The 24890-nt window shown below is 31.5% G+C and overlaps 1 long non-coding RNA gene across 3 annotated transcripts in view; it reads right to left on the reverse strand.

Moving 5' to 3' along the window:
• LINC02476 (long intergenic non-protein coding RNA 2476) overlaps positions 1 to 24890 on the reverse strand; it is a 287946-nt gene that overhangs the window by 120622 nt on the left and 142434 nt on the right. The window contains exon 4 of one of the 3 annotated variants that reach the window (NR_131961.1): positions 10758 to 12124. The exons of the other annotated variants lie outside the window; for them this stretch is intronic. This is a non-coding gene — a long non-coding RNA (long intergenic non-protein coding RNA 2476). Of the gene's footprint in view, positions 1 to 10757; positions 12125 to 24890 lie in introns of those variants that run through there. 3 annotated transcript variants of the gene reach the window in all.

Raw genomic sequence — 24890 nt, forward strand, 5'->3', positions numbered from 1 at the left:
ATCAGACAAAAAGTATTTAGTTTTTCACCATTACATATGATGGTGCCTCTATGTTTTATATAGGTCACTTTAAATGTATTGAGAAGATACATATTTATTTCTAGTTTTTTGCAGGTTTTTATCCTGAATTTATGTTAAATTTGCATTTATAAAAATTCTCTTTAGCTTAAGGACCGGCAGCTCGTAGGACAAATCAGGCCTGCGGCCTATTTTCAGTATGACCTCCAAGCTAAGGAGAGATTTTCATTTTTAAAGGTGTGTGCACATGAGAGAGAGAGAGAGAGAGACAGAGAGACAGAAACAGAGACAGAGCAAGACAGAGACAGAGGAATATTGAGAAAGGAAAGAAGTGGAGGAGGAGAAAAGAATATGCAACAAGGTATATGTGGTCCCATAACCAAAATATCTTCTATTACTATCTTGCCTTTACAGAAATAGTTTGTCGACCCTAATTTAATATGTCTTTTTAATTTTGTTAATATATCAAATTGCAGTGATTAATTTTGAATTTTGAACCAATCTTGTTGGGGATAACACCTAATTAGCCATTAAGTAGTATCTTTTTTTATGTTTCTGAATTCAATATGATAATATTTTGGTAAAAAATTTTTGTCTAATATTTATGAGAGATTATTTGTTTGTAGTTTTCTTTTTTTCCCGATGTCTTTGTCTCTGATTGTGGTAGTGGATAGTATTGCCCTTATAAAGAACTTGAATGGGTTTCATCCTTCTCTTTTTTCTTGAATATTTTGTGTGCTATGGCTGTTCTTTCTTTCCTAAATGTCTGGTATAATTTGACAGGGAAGGAAACTAATCCTGGAGTTTTCTGTGTTGCAAAGTTTTAATGTTTAATTCATTTTCTTTAATAGATATAAAGCTATTTAAGACATACATTTTTATCTTCAATGAGCTTTAGTATTTTTATCTTTCATGGAATTTGAACTTTCATCTGTTTTATCAAATTTATTGGCATAAATTGTCTACAATATTTCCTTATTATAATTTTAATACGTGTAGGATATGGAGTAACCTTTTTCTTCATTCTTGATTTGTCAATTTGTAACTTTTTCTTACTCAGTTTCTTTAGAGACTTATCAGTTTTATTAATCCTTTTAAAATATCAACTTTTATTTTTAATGATTTTATTTGCTTTTATTTTTTCAATTTTATTGATTTTTGCTTTTTTAGTCCACATCTCTTTATCGCTGTTTGCTTTAGATTTAATTTCCTCTTCTTTTTTTTTTCTTCTAATCACTGATATCTCTGTATCTCACAAATTTTGGCTATGATTTAATTTTTATTTATTTCAAAATAATTTAAAATTTTGGGGGAATTTTTCTTTGATTTATATTTTATTTAGGTGTGCTGTTTAATTTTAAGTGTTTGGAAGAATTCAGCTATTGCACACTTTTTGATTTCTAGTTTAATTCTGCTATAACAGGAGAACATACCTTGTATAATTTAGTTCTTTTAAGCTTATTAAGGTATATTTTATTTGTCTGAATGCAGTCTATCTTGTTAATATTTCATATTACTTGGAAAAACTTTATATTTTGCTGGTAGGTGAAGTATCTTATGAAAATCAAGTAAGTTAATAGGATTGATTTGTTTTGCATGTCTTCTAGATTCTAACTGATTTTCTTATTTTTTTAATCAATAAATGAGAGAGTAGCTTTTGTCTTCCAATGTAACTAGATTTTTATCTATAGGGTTATCCTTTATTTATGAATTTGAAAATCCATTCATTTGAAATGTTTTCATATTATTCACACTTGATGTGTTATTAGTATAGTTGGTATTAAATCTACGTACTTATATAAGTTGTATGCAACAACTTCTTAATATGATTGGATCTAATAGTACCATATCATGAACATTTGTTTGTCCCATCTTTGTTTGCTCCTTTCTCCTCCCTTTTTGCATTCTTGTAGATTAGAGACCAATTTTTTTATTTCATTTTTTCTCTGTTTTGACCTTCTAGTTATAAACCATCTTATTTTTAACATTTGCCCTAGAGGTTATACATCTTTGAGTTGAGTTTACTTACAAAAAAAATTATACCAAATAGTATAATAATCTTTCAACAATATAGTTAATGTTTCTTACCACCTACTCATTATGCTATTGTTGTCATTTTATTTCTACTTATGATAAATCCTCACAATAGAATGTTACTATATTTGCTTGAGATAGCCAATTATCTTTTTAAAAGCACTTTTACTAAGATATAATTAACATACAATCAACTGCACATACTGTGTACAAATTTATAGATATTGAGATGTGTATATACTTCTATGAAATTGTCATAATAATCAAGATAATGGTTGTGTCCCTATGTAATAACTGCTCCCATCCTTTTCTTTCTGTTTCTTTTACCAAGGTAATCACTGATGAGTTTTCTGTCAATAAAGATTAGTTTGCATTTTCTAGAGTTTTATGTAAATAAATTCAGAGAGTAGTGTTTTTTCCAGCTTATGTCCTTCAACATAATTATCTGGAGATGCATCTATGTTGTAATGTTTATTGGTGACACATTATTTATTGTTGAAGAATAGTATTTAGCAGTTTATAGATTCACCTTTTGAAAGACATCTGGATCGTTTTCAAGTTTGGCAATGAAATTACCAAACGGTAATTTCCAAATTGTAATTTCATGTTCATGTCATCTCTGTCATTTGATATTATTTTTGAATTATTTAAATGACATTAGAAAAGACAAGTATAATAATGAAAATGAAAGAACTGGTTCTATTTCTAACTGTAGATGATATGACAGGAAATTAGCGTGGGTTTATTTAGGATCCCCAAGCTACTTTTTCCAAATACAACCTAAAAAGTGAACTGAACATATATCTAGAAGTACAGTGCAAATCCATCTGAAAAATTTCTCGTTCTCAACTAAAACAAACAAAAAATTCTTAAACAATGTCAATGGGAAAAGCTTTGACTGAATCAACTAGCTGTTTAAACATTTCTATTCCACTGTGTAGCTTGAAAGAAATAGTAATGGTGTTCTAAATTGTTACAGAAGGTGGGCAATGATAATTTACTCTAGGGAGAATTTTTTTTTTTATTTAAAGAAAGTACTAATGGCTATTATTAGTCAATAAGATTACAACCTGCTAACTAGATATAAGTATTTCTTGTGAAACTTAAAGCTTATTACACAGAGACAAAAATCTAAAAGTTTTACAATGTGATTGCTACAAGATTTCTTTTCTTATTAATTTAACTCATTGAAAATAATGAGTCTTCATCATTTAGTGCTGAAAGTTAAAGATTCTTTTAAACTCAAGATGAACATGAAAACTATTATTTTACTTTGTCATTATTGTTATTTAAAAATTATAGCAGATCTTGCTGGCATCATTCTATTGTAAGTGCAGTTTGTCACGAGTTTATGACTCAATGGTTTTAATTCATATAAAAACAAACCAGCACACAAAGTTGCCAGTCTTTTTTTCTGAAAAAAATTAAATGAGTTATTTTTATCACAAAAGACACAGAATATAAATGAACAAATAAATCAATATACATTTTTAAATATCCATATTTTGTTGTTACAGAAAATGAGGTAATGTTAATTTAAAAATATATTTATGAATATTTTTCTCACTTAAATTCAGTTGTCAGTTGCAATCTAAATATGACACCAGCATGATTACCATTATTAATAGTAATGGTAATTAGCTTGAATAATAGTAATTATTAATAATAATTCTAAAAATACTATTTTACACACTAATATGTCCCTAAAACTATGTTGAAAATGACATTAAGTAGACACTGAAAAAATTACTGTTCATCAGAAATACTTGAAATCTTTACAAAAAGCCATAGTGAAAAGACAAAGGTACTTTGTAGTTTTGTAAATTAAAACATTGGTTAAATATAACGAGAGAGTTGCATATAAATTGTTTCATAAAATCATATTTTCTGCTGTGTGAATAAAGCCTCATTTATTGATATAATATTTTCTTTTTACTGTGACTTAAAATGTGGCAGAATAATTAATAAAAATGTAGACCCTCATTAATATGACATAGAATGTGGTATAATGCATCTGGCTGAGATGCATTACACAGGATAATAATTACTTATGGTACTAGAGGTATTCATCCAGTCTCACAAAATAGTGTTGCTAGTATGGCATTACAGTGTGGTTTACATAGTGTAGATACATTTGAGGGTTCTATGTAAATGAAAACCGCTATAAATAAATAAGGAGAAATAATTATTTAAATTCAAAGGAAAAGTTCTTTGAAAAGACTGATAAAATTGATAAACCTTTAGAAAGTCTCACAAAAGAGAAAATTCAAGAGTAAAGACAAATTGCTAATATAAGAAATACAATAGTTCATATAACTACAGACACTGCAGAAATCAAAAGGATAGTAAGGGAATAATAGAAGTAGCTCTACATATCTGAACTGAACAATTTGGACTCTATGAACCAATTCTTTTAAAAGTACATACTAAAACAATTCTTTCAGTATAAAATACATAATTTAATAGCCTTGCAACTATTAAGACATGAATTCATAATTTTTAAAACAACCCAACAAGAAATCTTCCAGCCCTGATATTCACTGAAGAATTCTAAGAAACACTTAAAAAGGAATTAAAACAAATTCTATACCCTTTTTTTTACAGAAAAGAAGTAAATACTTCCCAAATAATTCTTTAAAGTCAGTATTAACCTGACTTTAAAACTAGATAAAACACACACACAGACATACACACACATCCAAAAACTACACACCAATATCTCTCACAAATATACATGCAAAAATTCTATACCAAATATTAGCAAATAGTACTTAGTACACAAAAATATCTATATACACTATGACTAAATTAGGTTTATTTTGGGGATGCAAGGCTGATTGCACATTTGAAAAGTAGTTAATTTATGAAATTAGCAAGCTAATTTTAAAAAAATCACATGATCATATCAATAGATAAAGAACAAACCTCTGACAAAATTCAACATCCATTCTTGATTATAAAAAATCAGAACAATAATAAATATGTGGGAACTTCCCTGGATTGGTAAAGAATATCTACATAAAAATTGAAGCTGACATCATATTTAATGGTGAAAGACTGAATGACTTTCCTCTAATATGGGAAACAAAGCAAGGATGCTCACTTTCACCACTAATTCTATTTGATACAAGTGGTTCTAGACAGGAAAACAAGGCAAGAAAAAAATTTAAAGCATACAGTTTCAAAAAGAAGAAATAAGACTGCTGTTTTGTGCAGATGTCACAAATGTCTGTGTTAGTCTATTTTCACACTGCTGATAAAGACACACCCAAGACTGGGAAGAAAAAGAGGTTTAATTGACTTCCAGTTCCACATGGCTGAAGAGGCCTCACAATTACGGTGGAAGGCAAGGAGGAACAAGTCATGTCTTACATGGATGGCAGCAGGCAAAGAAAGAGCTTGTGCAGGGAAATTCCTCCTTATAGAGGCATCAGATCTTGGGTGACTTATTTACCATCATGAGAACAGCATGGGAAAGACCTGCCCTCATGATTCAATTACCTCCCACCAGGTCCCTCCCACAACATGTGGGAATTCAAGATTAGATTTGAGTGGGAACACAACCAAACCATATCAATATCCATGTAGAAAATCCCAAAGTATCTACAAAAATTTCGTAAAGCTAATTAGTGCATTCAGCAAGGTCACAAGGTACAAGATCAACATACAAAAATTTTTGCATTTCTATATTCTAGCAATGAACATGTAGACAACAAAATCAACACTACAATATTATTTAGTTATTTAAAAAATGAAATACGTATAACTTTTAAATGTCTAGGTTATTTTTACTGAAAACTATGAAACACTGATGAAAGAAATCAAACCATATCTAAATTAATGAGAGACATGCCTTGATCGTGAATCAGAAGACTCAACATGATAAAGATGACAATTTTTCTTACAGTTAGATTAAGAAAATTTCTTATCAAAATTTCAACAAGGTTTTTTAGATATAAGGAAGATTCTTCTCAAAGAATATATGAAAAAGTAAAGAAACTAATTGCTAGAATAATTTTTAAAGATATAATCACTATAAAATTATTAGACTCATTATATAGCTACAGTAATCAAAGATTGCATGACATTGGTAGAGGAGAAGACATAGATTAATAGAATAGAAAGTTCAGTAATGCTCTTGCAGGAGTCTAGCCACATGTTTTTTTTGACAAATGTGAAAAAGCAGTTCAATGGAGGGGCAATAGCTTTATTTAACAAATAATGTTGAAAGTAGACATCTATGAGCAAAAAATAAAAATAAAAAATAAGCTTGCCTCATCATAACTTATTTAAAAATTTACTCAAAGCAGGTCATAGAATTAAATACAAAATCTGAAATAATGAAGATTTAAAAGTGTGGAAAATCTTTAGAATCTAGATCTTGGCGAAGGTATGGCACTAGATGAAATAGGACACCAAAAGCATTATCAATAAAATAAAATAACTGATAACAGGACTTCATCAAGATGAATTTTTTTCTCTGCAAAAGATCATGCTAAGAGGAAGAAAAAACAAGGTATGACCTGGAACAAAATATTTGCAAACCATAAATCTGACAATAGAAATTATATCTAGAATATATAATAAACTCTCAAAACTCAAAGATCGAATCCAAGTAGAAAATGGGCAAAATACATAAACAGATATTTTTCTGAAAGTACTGTACATATAACGGCTTGTAGGCACATAATAAGCTTTTCAATATCATTAGCCATCAAGGAAATCCAAATTAAGACTATGATGAGATATCACTACAAACCAATTAAAACAGCTTTAAAAAAAAACTAGAAAATATTTAATGGTGTTTCTAATGCAGAGAAACTACATCTCATTTATTACTGGTGAGATGCAAGTTAAATGTCACAGTCACTCTTGAAAACATTTTGGCAGTTTCTTAAGAAGCTAAACACACCCATTCACACAATCCAGCAATTTCCCTCCTAGGCTTTCATCCCAGAGAAATGAAAACCTATGTCCACACAAATAGGTGTACGTAATTGTTGATAGCCACTTATTTTCAACAGTCAGAAAGTGGAAACCACCAAAATTTTCCTCCATAGGTGAAAACGATTAAAAATTACCCTGGTGCATCCATATCATGAACTGCTACTCATAAATAAAATGTAATGGATACATGCAAAAACTTCATTGGATCTTAGAAGTATTAGGCTGAGTGAAAAAAAGCCAGTCTCAAAAGGTATCATTATATATTATTTCACTTACATCACATTCTTCAAATGACAAAATTATAGAAATTGAAAAAACATTAGGGTTTGCCAGTATTAGAAGTGATCTGCTGGGGAGAAGTCTAAGTTCAATTATAAAAGAATACCACGAGGGACATTTGTGGGGTATGGGACAATTCTGTATGTAGATTGTGATGCTGGTTACACAAATCTATACATATGATAAGATGGCATAGAATGTACATTTTGCCAGTGTCAAATTTTTAGTTTTGATATCACAACTGTGTGAGACATAACAACTGGGGGAAACCAGATGAGCAGTACAAGGGTCTTCTCTGTACTAGCTTCACAACTTTCTTTGAATATATGATTATTTCCAAATTAATAGGTAAAAGTAGACAGACAAAAAATTAAAAAGAAAATAAATAAACTTGCAGAATTCCCCAAAGCTGGAAATGTAGGTGCAATATTCTTTTGGAGGTTTTCAGCATGTAAAAATTAAATTTGAGTTATTGTATCTGAGAACTTTATTTTCCTAGCATTTACTTTGAAATGTATATAAATGCATATACATATATATATGTATATAAATGCATATACATATATATATGTATATAAAACACTACTTCATACCCTGTGAACATAAATACTAACCCAGAAAACACACTGGGTCTCAAAAATAATAACAATAATGGTACAAAGATATGTATGCTACTAAATATCCTACTATTAATGAAAAAGTTTCAGTCGAACTTTAATTATGACAATCACAACTGAAAATACACCAGTATCTTAAGAATATTGCTGAAATACTTTTTTTTGTGTAAATTTAAACAGATCATAATCAAAATAAGGTACATTAATTTCCATTGGGAAATCAAATCACATTGAAAACAATTTAATCAAATATTTAAAGATTGAACATTTAAAACAAATTTAAATAATTATTAAACCAAATTTGAAACAACACATCTACAAACATATTAACTCAAAGATTAAAAGTCATAACACACTCAAGACAACACAGATGTTTCACTAAAAATGCAACATCCATTATAAAAAGTGGAGGGATTCCTACTATCTGTGAATGTGCATGCAAATAGGAGCTTTGCAACATTGCCAGGCATTGTGTGACAGCTGGTCTTAGCAGAATGCTGAATAAATTCTTTAGTTAAATTTAACTATGTGCTAATTTTTTAGGAAATGAATGCCAAATGTCTGTAATGCTAATAATTCTCTTATTAGATTAATAGTAACACTTCATCTTAACTAGAGTAAAAATCTGTGGGATTTCATGTCACTACTTATGACAAGTGAAGCAATTATTTACATTTTTGCATCAGGTCTAAGCCTTTCAGAGAAACATTCTTCTGGCCTTACTCGGGGGCAACTTATCTCACAATATTTCATGTGTGATGGACTGTGATGGACTTTTTAATCATATTTTGAAGGCTTAGATGTCAACAAGGTCACAGAAATGGGAATCAGACAGAGGGCTCTTGTTTCAATAGAGGAATTGATGGACTATCCTGTATAAGGCAAGCTGTGCCTTCATTTTGCATCCCCTTGTCCTGTTTGTCTTCTAAATACTAACCCAGAAAACACAGAGTCTCAAAGATCATAATAATAGTGGTACAAAGATACGTATTTCTCACCATGAGCCAGCACTAGATTAAATATTTTATATGCATCAATTTAGTCTTCACAACATTCCTGTGATAAAATGATAATCATTATTATTTTTTAATTTTTATGAGAGAAAAGTAACTAATGGACAGAGATATTGAGTCTCATTAATATTTTTGTAAATATACTTTTAAAATAGCATCTGCTAAGTGATAATGAGTTGCACATGTATTCCTGTTTCTTCTCCAACATTTTCATCAATCAGACACTAGAGATGGCTGGCATAACTCCAGGAATTTGAAGCGTATTCATAACAAAAAAAATCTTTGTCAAGTCAGAGATTATATTCGCCAGCCCAATAGGCTTTCCTCCACCACCACTTTTTAAATGAGTAAAATGACAACACAAATCATTAATAGAATGGCAGCAAAATATATAGATAAAAGGCACATTTGAGCAAAGATAATTGAGAAGTTTTACTTCCTTTATACTCTCTTTCTCTATCTTCTAGGTTTCTATAGGGGACTCTGAAGCCTGAAAGGAAGGTGGACCCAAGAATAGAAGCAGCTGATTCTGCTGTTAATATTTCTGTTTCCTCTTGGTTATGTACACTAATTTCTCTTGTCTTGTAATGTTCCATCATGGGCTCTTCTTTCTTAGGATTTTGTAGGAGGTGAAACTGTTTTGTAGAAGGTTTGAATGTCTTTGCCCAAAATCTTGGAAGCATTTTCAAATCCATGAACTCTTAAAATCAAATTATCTACTTGGATTTTTTTAGACCTTCAGACAGCAATCCAACATGAAGTCTTGTTTATAATTTTGAATTTTTAGTGGAGGATGTTTCTTCTCCTCAACTTACCAGTGTAAAAGTTTATGATACCAAGTTCAATTACCATCTAATTTTTTTGTGATTATTCTTTTCTTATTTATACTTTCATTGATAGACTTAACATTTGTGGGTTCATGTGACCCTCCAATTTAGCTTTCCATCTTTCACAGGCCCCGAGCCATGGTCATGCCTTTTGCATGTCTATTAACATTGGAATTTCTGCTTGCCATTCTGTATTTCAGATTTCTGCAATTTAATTTGCTTTTTTTCAAGGTCAGTTACGTGTACAAATAAAACTTATGTGTACAAATAAAACTACCTTGCATATAAGAAGTCCAGAATGAAGTCTAGCAGGAATTACATATGATGTGGTACGTGTTTGGTACATATGTGGTCTGAGCATTTTCTCTACTCAGACTATTTCCCATTATTCTTAGTGCCCCTTGACTATTGTCTGTGGCCTTCTTATCCTAAAAATTAGGGTGTAAACTTAAGCTCATTTTCAATGACAGTAGTAGATTATTTGTCTCTCTTACTATTGGTTCCTAATACCTATTTGTTTTTCATTTTCTAGCACACAATAGAGACTCAAATCTATTTTTATAAATGAATCTATCTTTGAGTCTAGTCTGTGCTCACACTATCAGATTTATTCTTACAACAATAACTACTAAACATCTGATTTTGTAACAAGCTGAGTAATTTCAGATGGACTTTACATTTTATATATATATGAATAAATATTCTATTACATAGATGTTGTTTTACCTATATGTAGTTAAAATTTAATGTATTAAGTACATATATCTGAATTGAAGCTTTCAAATATATGTTTTTTAAACTTGAGAATTATAAAGTGTTTTAATGTTAAATTTTTATTTCTTAGGTAAAGGAAAAAATAAAGATTAGCTTATAAATTGTTCTCAAGGGCCCTAGTAGATTATTTAGCACAAATTATATTTATCCTTGGGAATATTTTCTCAGTTTATGTAGAACACATGAATGGCTTAAAGAAAGAAAAAATCATTTTATATTAATGTTTATAAAGAAATACAAAATACCACTTTCATAATGAAATAACAAGATTACATTTATTGGAATAATGTTGATGGTAATTGTAGAAACAATTTTGTTAATGGGAGAGTGTTACATTGTTAGGATGATATTTAGACACATAAACATCATTAGCAATCGCTTACCATATTCCCTAGAGCCTCTTAGGATACTCTTTGACAGTTACTTAAAAGGAGAGACCTCAGTGTCTGTCAATTATCCTCAGTGGAAATGTAGACCACTAACACATTCAGATTTACTTGATTCCGTTAAAGGAAAAAAGGGACGGTACAACTTTTTCTTTGTCTGGAAATTTCAACTTAGTGAAGCCTTACAAAAATCATTTTTAAACAGGAATATACTGATAGAATTATTTATATAATACACAATACAATAAGACATTAAAGAAAATTGATAAATAATGCTTCTCACTAAATATATAAAAGAACTATAATATGTAAAAATCAGTGTATCATGTTCTATGGGATGGGGCTGGGTTATATCATGGACTGGAAATTTGATGAGCTATTCTAAGATATTCTGAATTTTTACCTAAAATTCAACAGTAAATAGAAACAAAATCTAAGATTACCAGTAATTATATTAAGTCCACATTATTTTTATTTGAATTCCCTGCTCTTTTTTCTCATTCACAGCTCGACACCTAAAGTACTTAAAAACTTGCTAAATGTGGTATGTGTGTATACATATTCTCTCTCTCTTCACATATATGTGTGTGTGTATATATATATGAAGTATATAAGTATATATAGGCACACGTGCACACATACATATATGTCTAAATATGTGGGGGAGTACATAAGACTCACTTGAAAATTAAAAGCCAGTTTTTTCCTCATTAAAAATATCCACATTGTAATTTCCACTTCCAGGCATACTGAAGTAGCATTGATCAGAGTTACATTAAGTGAAAAAAAATATATAAAAAAGTAAATTTTAAAACAGTGATCAACTAGGATATTTAATATTATAAACAGACTTCTTCAGGAGGACTTAACAAAATCAAATGTATATGCTTAAATTGATGAATATATAATCATAGTTCAAGATGTTAACACTTCTTATAATAATCAATAGAATAAGGCTTGGTGCAGTGGCTCATGCCTGTAATCCCAGCACTTTGGAAGGCCGAGGCAGGTGGATCACCTGAGGTCAGGAGTCTGAGAACAGCCTGGCTAACATGGTGAAACCCTAGTCTCTACTAAAAACACAAAAATTAGCTGGGCATGGGGGCATGTGCCTGTAATCCCATCTACTTGGGAGGCTGAGGCAGGAGAATCATTTGAACCCATGAGGCGGAGGTTGGAGTGAGCTGAGATTGCGCCACTGACTCCAGCCTGAGCAATAGAGTGAGACTCTGTCAAAAAAAAAAATTGATAGAATAAGTAGGCAAAATATCAGATGGATTTGCAGCTTTTATTAGAACTCTGTAGTAGCTTAATTGGATTACCATTTATAGTACTACAAATATGTATACATACTAATACACATTGAAATACTGCAGAATACATGCTATTTTCAAGTACACACAAAACTTTAAGTATGATTGACTACATTCTGGGACATAAAATAAATCCTAAAACATAAAATGTTTGAAATCATGCAGAGCATGTTCTATGAATAAAAATGGAATTAAATTAGAAAACAATAAAAAAATAGTACCTGAAATGACTCATCATAGTGAGGAATTAAGAATTATATTTCTAAATAGTCCCAAAATAGAATAAGTTGCTAAGAAAATGAGAAAATACCACTGAAAGAAAATAAAATCACAAGATATCAAAATTTGTGAAAAGCAGCTAAGGCAATGTGAAAAAAAAATTAAGGATTTAAATGCTTATATTAGGAAAAACAGAGAAAGTTATTGATCAGGAACTTAAGCTGCTTTTTCAGAAGCCAGAAATTTAAGGGCAAAATGAATACATGGTATACAGAAGGAAGGAAATAGGTTTTAAAAAGAATCTAGAAAAGTAATAATAGATAATTTACAAAGTAGGAAAAATGAAATCATAAGGTGCTTCTATAAAAATAACAATAAAAAGATAAACAACTAGATAGAATGAACAAGTGGAGAAATAGAGACACGGAGAAAGTGAGGGAGAGAAACAAAGAAACAGCAGCACTAAAGCTCCCACAGACATTAAAAAGTGAGTGCAAGAATATTTGAAAACTTGTGCCATACAAAATAATATATAAATTATACCATTAAATTAGCCTCAATGCCATACATAATAATATATAAATTATACCATTAAAAAATTCACCTCAATATAGTGAAATTCCCTGAAAATCAAAAATCCATAAAACTTACAAAGAAATACAATTAAAATATTAATATTCCTACATATTATTTAAAACAGATTTGTAATTTACTGGAACTTTAAAATGAAATCTCCAGTTCCAAATGACCTCACAAGTATATTATATTAAACCTTTACAAAAGCAGTAACAGGTATCTTTACAGAAACTGACTTTCCTTTGATATGTCAATTTGGTGAGGTTACAGTCCTAGTCATTCAGTTAAGCACTAATTTCAGTGTTCCTATGAAGAATTTTGCAGATGTCACTAAGGCACAACAGCTTCTGCCTGGGCCCAGGGAGCTCCATCCTGCTCCCGATCGCTTCTTGAATACTGTGAACAATAGCTTTCTCTAATGCCCATATGTTCTATCCTGTCTATGATCTTTGGTCCATAGGGTTTGATCTTCCTTAGACAGGCATTACAATCACTTAAGTCAATTTTGTATGGTAAGTCAGTCTCTCTTTCTCTCTCTCACTTTATCATCCATATGTCTCCCTATCTATCATCTATTTATGTATATGTATATATGCATGTACACAAACACAAATATGTATGATAAATACCTTAGTAATTCTGTTTCTCTTCTTGAACCCTTATTGATACACAAAATAAATGATGAGGAAATAAAGTCCTACTCAATTCATGTGGAGAAGTCCAAAGTGGTGTTTGGAAGAAAAAGTAAAGTCCTACTTGAGTTAAATAAATGATGACAAAATGGTGAAGAATATGTATTGAAATTCTCCATAAGATCAAAAAATTGTAGAATATGAATAAACTGAAAAACTGAGGTGACTCTAGGAACTAGTGAGCAGAATGGTGGTGGGGGGAAAGGGGGTTACAAATACAGATTTTGATGGTGGAGTAGATTCTGGCTCTGTAAGTTCTGCATGTGACTATGAGAGTGTTTAAATGAGAAACAAAAATAACCTAAGTTATGTGAAGAAAGACCAGAGTATAAGATATTCCTTAGGAATGGAATCTCTAGAAATGGAGATTGGTTATGAAGCTGAAGAAAGACTATTGGAGTTGAGATTTGCACTAGACTCAAATTTTCTATAGAAAATCCCACAATCCTGGTGATTAATTTCAAAGGCAAAAACTTTTCATCAAATTTTCCTAATATCAAAGCATTTTCCGGCAGTGAGTGTATGGCTAGTCTCAGCCATCATGAGTATTGATAACTGCAACTTTTCTGGCAAGTACCTAATTACCAATTAATGGGATACAATTCTGTCTTTTAACCTGCTGGTAAATAGTTAGTCCTTTTATAATTTCGAGTTCACGCATGGTCACTACTCATTAAAAATTGAAAAGAAAACAATGCAAGTGGAAATTTTCTTAACATCTATCTTTGCATAAACATTCCATAGTTTTGTAATTATTTTCAGTGACAGTAAGAAAAGATTAAGGCTATCTGGAGTGCCAGCATTTCAAGTTTGCAATGTCATTGTATCAAGTATAAATAAATATTTATTAGCTTCCAAATAAAACCAGATTATTTTCATTTCTGTCATTTCCCTTTTAACTGTATTGAAACCAGATCATTAAGCAATAAAGATGTTATCATAAAAATCAGAAACAAAACCAAAGTAAACAAATAAAAAAGAAGTGGGGAGGTGATTGTGGAAGAGTTAGTGAAATCGATTGCCTAAATTGATAAACTACTAAGCACAAATATGCTATTAGGATACATAAAGAACAAGATTTATGTAAATTCCAGTTTCTACAATTGCGTGCTCATTGTGGCAGGTGAGGCCAGTTCATTTGCCAGACTATCCGATCCTACACCTCTCCTCTCTGGTCATATTTCTGCTGCGCATCAAAATCTCACAGCATTCTAGTCATCATGTAAGGTCAGTCAGCTTCCCATTGGGAACAAAGATTTATGTGCTCCGTCAGTTTTTTCACAATAACAATATTCTAAGTGAATACTGCTGTAGCTTTACAAATACAAAGCTCCCAGAAATGTCCTTTCAAAACAGTATAGGAAAAAGGCTAACATTTATGCAATGTTTTATTTATTTAATTTTTGATTATATACATTGTCCAAGAGTTTATATTGCAAGAGAAATCAACCATGTAACAAACTGTCTAGAGGAAGGTATGTTTTCGAGAAATACCAGTAAGAATTATTTTGTCTTGGGAAAAGAATATTTTCTAAAAGTAATTATCTGAAAGCTTTTAGCAGTCTTTTGATTCTAATACAAATTTCATTTTAAAATTTTACTTCAAAATTATTCAAATATTAAAAGTGTCTTCAAAATCTGAAGCTATTTTCTAGGTCATTGCACATTTACTAAGAGATTATTTATAGTACATTATCTAAAATCATAAAAATGTAGTCTTTATGGAGATGTATACTTTACAGAAAAAAATAGTATAATAGTACACATTCATTTGTACTTGACAAAATGATTATAGGCCAGGATATTCTGATTAACTTAGACTTAACAGATTTTTAGAGAATTGGGAAATATAAGTGGGTCTTTTATCATGTATATAAAAAACAAAATTATCATAAAAAATTTCTGATTTCCACAAGCTATTCATAAATATTTAACTTGTAATGCTTTAAATAAGTACTGTTTATATCAATTGCTATTAGTAAATAATTCTGTTAGAGTTTTCCCTTGTTTCATTAGGTACAGAGTTAATGTGATTCAAATAAAATTTCCATTCTCTAAAAGTTTAAAATAAGATTCTGTTACAATATGAATAACAGAAGCCATAGTAGTTTTGGTGGGCTTAAAATGATATATTTTAGAAAGCAGACAGTTACTTACACTTTTAAATTAATTTCAGTGCCAGTCATAGAATGGAAGATGCTTTATGAAGGTATAACAGTGTCAATGTGAATGTAATTTACTGTTCACAACACATCACAGGAGTCCACAGATGGCCATAAGAAATAGCCCGACCCCCTGCAAGTCTCACAAAGCTTGCTGAGATTAGCAGGAAATGTATTTGTCTTCTCAATCAATTCATATTTAGATAAAAACATACCATTCCGTATTATCATTTTAATGCAAGAAAGGATAGGTTTAGCTGCAACCTTTCTTATTCAATATAAATGAGGCAAACTTTCCCTAGAAAATAAAAACAAAATGGTATTTTTAAAAGGGAAGATTTTTAATGCCTTTAAAAAATTATAGGTAACTTAAGATGAAAAATGTTAGAGAGACTTGAAATTAACTGTTCTTTTTATCAGAATGATATATTGAAAATAATATTAGGGAAGATAGGCTTACACAACTGAAAACATTCAGGTGAATGTCTTTGACAGGTTTTAACATTATGGATCAGTAGCTACACACACACACACACATTTGCTCTAGCCACTAGATAGTGTATCTGTTTCGTCTTTGAGGATGCCCACCCAGCAGACTGAATAGAATTCTGGGTGGTGGTTTTGAGCTAAAAATAATTCAGGATTTGGATTCTCCAGAGATTCACCTGCTCCCTCATTATGCCAGAGTTTCAGAATTTCTGAATCATTTTTGTTGACAGGCGCTGGATTTGCCCTTTTCAGGTCTAGGGTTTGTTGTCTTCTGTTAAGTGTTGTCAGATTTTTAATGGTCTTATTTTAATCCTCCAGGGACTAATGTGTAGTTCTTTGGTTTGTAAGTGCTTGCTTTAATCTCTGTTGTTGTTGTTGCTTGTAACAGAATAACTGAGCTGGGTAATTTATAAAGAAAAAATATTGATTTCTTACAGGTATAGAGGGTGAGATGTCCAAGGCAGAGGGGCTGCCTCTGGTGAGGCCCTTCCTGCTGATGAGAACCCCATAGTGCTTCAAGACAGTGCAGAGCATCTCATGGTTAGGGGATTGAGCTTGTTCATGTGCTATCTCAGGTCTGTTTTTCTTATAAAGCCACCAATTCCCTTTTCATAACCTATTAATCCATTAATCCATTGATCCATGAATTGATTAATTCACTCATGAAGTCAGAGCCCTCATAATGCATTCATCTCTTAAAGGATCTAACTCTCATTACTGCCACATTGGGGAATAAATTTCAAAATGAGTTTTGGAGTGGACATTCAAACCATAACAGGGCTTTGTATATGAATAAGCCTATCACTGTAGGAAGTTTACAATTTGGAGCTAATTAAATCTAAGGTATTTGATATTGTTTTCTAGTATATTTAAAACTTGAATACTTGAAGTCTCTAATATGAGGCTCTTTATAAAGTTATTTAGTTTTCAGAGCATTTTATCTATCATAGGATAGTAATCAGAATTATTCTCTTAAGTTGAGATATAAATAAACCTAAACAAACTCAAAGACTAGTTCACACTTATGAAGAATTTAACAGATACTGCTTTTTTAATTTAGATATCAGCTACCACTTTTTACTAAAGACTAAATTGAGTATACATTTTTATGACACTAAACTACTTGAGAGTTATATTTTAATAATTGAGAAAAAATAAAGAAATACTTTTAAGTAGGAATTTGTGATAATGGATATATGGCAATTGATTTTTATCAGTTAAGGGTTGGAGTCTGACTTCAGATAGATCAAAGTTCAAATCGTGGCCACAGGAACAGACTATGTGGCACTTGAGAATGTTGCTTAATTTCTTCAAGACTAATTTATTTATCTATAAAAAGATGATAATAAGGATAAATCCTCATAGGAGTTTTGAGATTTAAATTGTACCATTCACGTAAAATTTTGGCATAGTACATGACATAGTTTTTAAACTCCAAATTTAGCTGTTATCATCATCATGTTATTATTATGGATTGAATTATTCATCATTTTCTTCATGAATGATAAAATCACATATAGTAATTTTTCCAGATACATTTCTTCATATTTGTTAACTAAAGTGAATAAAATATAAACATTGATTCTATTTTTTGTTACTCTGGGACCAAGTTACCTTTTCCTTCTCTAGTTTTTAGTACATTGATAAGCATCCAGTCTTTGAAGGACTGATGTTAAGGGCAGAGTGACATGGTACTTCACGTGTGCTGGGCTCCATGCCCTTGATGACAATTGCATTCAGAAGAAGCCTTAATGGGAAGAACCCAAATAACTTGAATAATATGGGCAAAGAATATGCAACATAATTACTACTTCCCACAGGATTATGACTTAATAGGAAAAGATATAATTTCTCCTTTTATAAGGAGGGTGGTAAAGAGTATAATCTTAGGTCTAAATCTGATTGCAATAGTATTTGGAGAAGATTTTTAAAATGCACTATGTTTGGAGAAAGATCTGGTTTCTCTTTTGAAAGCTAAAACAGGGGCTCAGTCTGACCCATGGCTTAAAATGCCTAATGGAACCTAACAATTTTATGGCACTGTACAGTAAGTGATGTGCTAGTTCTGCCACTGTGATTTATTAGAAGTGCAGTTTTAAGTAACATCCCTACCTTTCAGAGTTTAATTATTTTCAGATGTCAGATGATATTAATCATATCTGAGCTTACTAGCTCACTAGAATCAAATAACAAAACTGCAAAAAAGCAAAATGAAATGAAACATGTAAAAGTATACAAAGTACTCTATCTAATAGGTATTCTAATAATACCTGGTATATGATTTTAACAGTTTAAAGACTTTGGGTTTTAACAGAATTTCATATACTCTGAATTACATCTATAAGTGTCTATTTGTACATGTACATACATGTATAGTATATATGTGATTCTCTTCCAGCTATACCTATTAACTTTTTTGTTTAGTTCTGTTTTACCAATGTCTTTTTGTAGACTGGGAAGTTTATTTTCACATCTCTCTTTATTGTGAAACTCCCCATGCATAAAACTAGCAATAGAAGTCTGGTTCTCACTTGTTAGCACCTATCTGATCAGGCTTTTGCTGAAATGAAAAAATGCCTGATGGACTTACGCATTCATATTTTATTCTGGATTGTTCTGTGATAACCCTATCTCCTCATCATTTCTGGTCATCCCACTTTTCTCATCTCAAACTTAAGGCTTATATAGATTCTCTAATTCTCTCTCAGAAACTTCTCCACTACTTACTGTAGAGAACAGACATTTGGATGTTCTTTTCATAATATATGGGATGCTCAGTGTTCTGTGAGGCTGCCATCAAGTACTTACCTAGATGCTTTATCCAACAACTGTCAGTCAATAGTACTGGTGTGCTGCTGGGTGTGGAGTGGGCTCTTCTATGAGAGATTCACTTCCATAGTCCACCCCATTGGAACCTAGCCATAGGTATCTTTGGTTTCAGAAGTTTGAGGTTCCCTAAAGTTTTTTACTGAGGAAGAAACCAAAAACCCTTTTAAGATAACCACATGAAAAAGAGTGACCTCCATTAAGCTACTTTTTTTTTTTTTAATGGAGTGTTGCTCAGTCGCCAGGCTAGAGTGCAGTGGCGCGATCTCAGTTCACTGCAACCCCCGCCTCCCGGGTTCAAGTGATTCCCCTGTCTCAGCTTCCCAAGTATAAGCTACTATCTTTATCCTTAGTTATCCTATAAGCATACTGACTCTCCCTTTTAAACTAGAAAAATTCACTCTCACATACCAGTGCCTTTCCCTGAACTCTGTTAAGAGTAAACTGAAAGTTCTCTTTGATTAAATATTATATTTTGCTTTAACAAAGACAGTATTGGTGTTGAAATAATGTCATTCACCTTTTCTCTCTCAAGACCTTAGTTCTTTGTAAATAATTGCATCTTTGCTTTCAAAACTCTAATTTATATTAAAATATTAAACATCTGATTAGAAGATAAGTTGACTTATTTGTTCTTTTTTAGGTCATTTTATCAGCTCCTCTTCCATGAAGTGAATTAACTAGGGCCCATTAGGTGATGCATGTCATTGACTCTTAGCAGAAAGAAAAGATACAGGGGTCATATATGACTGTTAGGGTTGCCATAACAAAGTACCACAACAAGGTGACTTAAACAGCAGAAACATAGAGTCTCACAGTTCTGGAGTCTAGAAATCCAGTTGCTGGTAATATTGGTTCTTCCCAAGTGCTCTGAGGGAGAATCTTTTCTATGCCTCTCTCCTACTATTTTGTGTTTCTTGGCAAGCTTTGACACGTGAATGTCTGTCTTCATGTTCACAAAGTTTACTCCCTCCGTGTGTGTGTGTGTGTGTGTGTGTGTGTGTGTGTGTGTATGTCCAAATTGTTTCTTTTTATAAGGGCACAAGCCATATTGTATCAGAAAGCTTATCCTACTCCAATATGACCTCTTCTTAACAAATTATGACATTCAGATGTACCAAAATGTAGAACTTCAACATATGAATTTTAGGGACGGGACATACAATTCAACCGAAAACAAGCCACAAAGACAAAACTCTCTTAGTTAATACATCTGAAGCCTGTCCCGCTATGAATTATCCTTAGTACTTTATTCACTGTAGCTTGTCTTTACTATCACAGGCCATGCAATTCTTTGTAATCTAACTGGTAGCCAAAATGCTGATTTCTATTCATTGTGTCCTCTCTACGTATCCATGCAAAAAGGGTGCTCTAGCATATCTGCATATGAGAAAGCTATATTTACCCACATATATCTGTAAAAATGGTATCACAAGAAATAACACAATAAAATGTACACGATGAGGAATATACAATTCTTGTTACCATACATTAGATAAGAAGTAGCAATCGATTCTTCAAGCTATTGAAAATTTCCTTTTTATATCCTTCCTAACATTCAATATGTAGCAGACATCAGGAAACTTTAGAAGAAAATCTTATTCCTACATAAATTATTCTAATTCTTTCTCATGAGTTAAACAAACTTTATTTTGAAAAGTACATTTAAACAAACTTGTAGTTTGAAAAGTAAAGAGCTTATTAAGTTAAATTAGGAGTTAACACGGCTTATTCTTTCAGCAGTACATAGATGTGTTACTCATTCTTCTTTAACCCGAGTATTTTTAGTAAGAAATAATATTCTTGTACCCTTTCTGTATATTGCATTACCAAAAAGAGTGGGTACATATTTTCCATTTACCTGAAATAAAAGTACTTTTATAATGCTCTACAATTTCTCAAACTATGTAAATTGTGGAATAAGAAACATATTATCCTTACCTCTCTCTGCCAACAATTGAGAATAATTAATACACAGCATCAGGTAGTAAAACAAAAGTTGTATATTCATTGCAATTATTGCATCAAGTATTTCTGGAGAAGACAGTAGGTGTCAAAATATGTTTTCAAATATTCTTAACTTTCTCATTCTTTTAACACATGAATGAAATCTTGAATGCACACAGGAATCTAGAGTTATGACATTTCTTCTAAGAATTACCATAGTAATTCTGTATTATTTTCTTTGTAATTGATATATTGAAGGAATAAATATGTACCTAGCTTGATTTTATCTTGTTGAAAGTGATCTATTTTTACTTGTACAATTTATTTAAGAAAGTAACAAATAAAAGGTCAATTTACAAGGAAAAAATTATGAAGACACTAGTTGCAGCTGTCAGGAAACAATGATCAATAAATATTTTCACGTTTCTTCACACTCATGGTTTACTGAGAAAAGATTACTGACAACCTATGTTAAAGAATGACTGAAGGAAAAACAAGCCTTGGAAATTAAATATAGGGACCTTCTGAGAGATTTATAAACAATTTTCCCTGAAGCCATTTGTTTACATTCACCGGTTTATAAACCTAGAGACCTTCTGCTCTCTCTAGAGAGCATTTCTTTATATCTAGAGCAAACATCAATTTATTTTCATCTCTAGAGAGGTAGATTGCCAGCTACCTTATATAAGTTCCCAGTTTCATAGGTTTGGAGTTATCCTCCTCTGATACATACCCTGAAATATATGGAGTGACTTTCTTCTTTTATTCCTTCACCCCATGGGGATTTGGAATATGTGGAACTGGAACAAAATGTTCTGTTAGTAATTGTTTCACCACCTCTGATTCACCACTGTCTATAGTAATGTATACTTGTCCAAGTAGGGCAACGTCTTAAACCATTCTTTCCATTTCAAAATTTTCTATATTATTTGAATCATTTATATTTGTAGAAAGAAGGAAGAAAATGTAGGAAAGAAGATGGAAAGAAGGAAAGTTGTGTCTAAATATGATATATAATGAAAAAGCTAACTAGATGGATGCAAAATTTTATAAGTATAAATCATTTGAAGTAAGATCCAGATACATATGTATAGAACAATCTTGATAATTTACAAATGTAATATACAGAAAAAATGTTACCAAATAATACAGAGAGTTTGATACAATTTATATAAAATGTAGTTTGTCTCTGAAGTGTTATTTGAGGATATTCATGACTGCTCAAAAACACTAGAAAAACACAAGGAATTGATACAACACTTAAGTGTTAAGCAAAAATTAGCGAGTATTTTATGAGATACAGGTAATATCTCGTGTGTGTGTGTGTGTGTGTGTGTAATGTTTAAAGAAGTTGCCTGTGAGATAGAATTCATGATATGCTTAAGTATATATTGCAAGTTAGTAATATTTAAGACATGTTAAACATAGATGAAATAAGTGGAATAAACAAGAGTGCTACTTTCAAATAGATATAAAGGGAAAGATCAAGTCATAGGCTATGATTATTGCACCACTGGGCTGACAGTTGTTATCCCTAAATTGGCCGTCTGCTTGTGACTTCCATTATGTTCTAATTTGGCCCCTCCTGGGCTCTTTCCAAGAAACAGCTAACTACCAGTTACTGTTCATTAGATTAATTCGTGAGTTACAGCTATGACCAGGACTGCTTGCCCTGGCATCTCTTTGATGGAAAAAAAGTATATTTGTGTTGGTACAATCATTCTGTTGGACTCCTCAATCAAATCTTAAATCTGGTCCCCATTAACCACCATCAGTTGGAAAGACTGATATGGTGGAGAGAAATAGACACACAAATAAATGTTGCATAATCCAGGGTTCAGGTAGTATAATCTTTCATCCTATCCTATTGCTTTCCTCTTGCTTTTACTATATGGTTTTAACTGAGTTTATAAACTATGTCATTCAAGAATTTTAGTTTGGCCTGAGATACATTCTGTTCCATAACTTCTGGAATAGCTTGCTTTACAGTAGCTTTAAGACCTCCATTACATAAAGACAATTTCTTACACCTCATTAAAATATAAACTAGTGCTATATATTATTTTTATCCATATTATATTACCAAATAAAGAGGTTATGAAAGGACATGTTGAATGCAATAAAATGCTATCATAAGGCAAAGGTGGCAGGATGTTATGAGGGTTCAGATGTCTAGAGAAATTTAACACTGTATTATTGTTCTGATTTCTAAGAAGAAGGATATATCACTTGACAAATTAAAGATTAATAAAACAATCACAATAGTTTTCTTTTTTGGTGTGGATTGGTCATTTTTAATAATCAGATTAAAGCACTCAATCAAGAATACGCTCTTTTTTATGGCTGCCTAGTATTCTATGGTGTATATGTATCACATTTTCTTTATCCAATCAAGATCATGCCTTTTGCAGGAACATGGATGAAGCTGGAGGCTATTATCCTTAGAAAACTAACTCAGAAACAGAAAACCAAGTACTGCATGTTTTCACTTATAAGTGGGAGCTAAATGATAAGAACTATGAACACAATGAAGCAAAAAACAGACACTGGGGTCTACCTGAAAAGGGAGGATAGGAGGAGGAAGAGGAGCAGAAAAGGTAAGTATTGGGCACTGTGCTTAATACATGCATCTTTTACTACATTTAACTGCAGATTTTATTCCGGTAATTCTAACCTGTTCTCTACAGGTGCCCTGTCACTATTGTTTCTGTGGTTAAACTGGTCTTCTTTGGGTTCTGCAGCTTCACCATGCTTCTCTCAGCTTTCTGACAACTGTATAAGCTTTGGTGTTTGCCTGGAATACTCTTCTCTTTGCTCTTTGTCCTAATTCTCTTTCAAGTATCAGTTCATAGACTGCCACTATCCTTATTTTATATTCATAATGTACCCTGTAACTTTCCTCTGACATACTGAATCGTTGATTATTAGGTAAATATATTTCTTTACCTCTTGCCTGTGAGCTTTAAATGTAAGAATTATGCATGAATTTGATCATCATGGTATTACAATAACCCAACTGCCTAACAAATAGAAGATAATTGGTAAATAAAGTAATACAAATTCCATGAGTGCTCAAGTAAGATGACAATGTGAAAGAGTTTTAATGCATTTAGTGACATGGATATAATTTGAGTTTTGAGTAATTAAAGTTATGTTGAAGTAGAAAGGTGGAGTCAAGATCTGGTGCACTGAGAAGTTGATTGTGAGGATATTGGAATAGTAAGTATAGAAAATTTATTTCAGAAATTTGGTTTTGAAGAAAGGAACAAATACCGGGGAGTGCCTACAAGGTGGAGTGAGGTTGAAAAGGATTTTATTGTTATTTGTCTTACTAGTTTATATCTGAGACAGAATATATAGATGCTGTTTACAATAACTTAATAAAATAAGATAAATTGAAGATATGACATCAAGAGGGATGCAATTAAAGTACAAGGACCCTAATGAGGTGAAAGGGTAGGGAGTATAGGCAAACATGGGAATACATCAAATTTGGGGAAATGTACTTACACACTTGTAATACGGCTGAAAGAAGATAAGGGTATCATGACAGAATAAGATGGCTTGATTTTTTTTATTCCGTGAATTAAGAAACTGGGACATCTCCTTTAAGAAAGGTAAAGATATAGGGAGATGTTAATAGGATAAATGTTTGAAAACGATAATGAATTTTTTTATCTAGTACTCACTACATAGAATTAGAAAACTCAGAAATTTTTAATAGCAGGATTACAATATTTAGAGTCTCGTTAAGGTTGATGACCATTACTT

Source organism: Homo sapiens, chromosome 7, assembly GCF_000001405.40.
Source record: "Homo sapiens chromosome 7, GRCh38.p14 Primary Assembly".
Taxonomy (NCBI): Eukaryota; Metazoa; Chordata; class Mammalia; order Primates; family Hominidae; genus Homo; species Homo sapiens.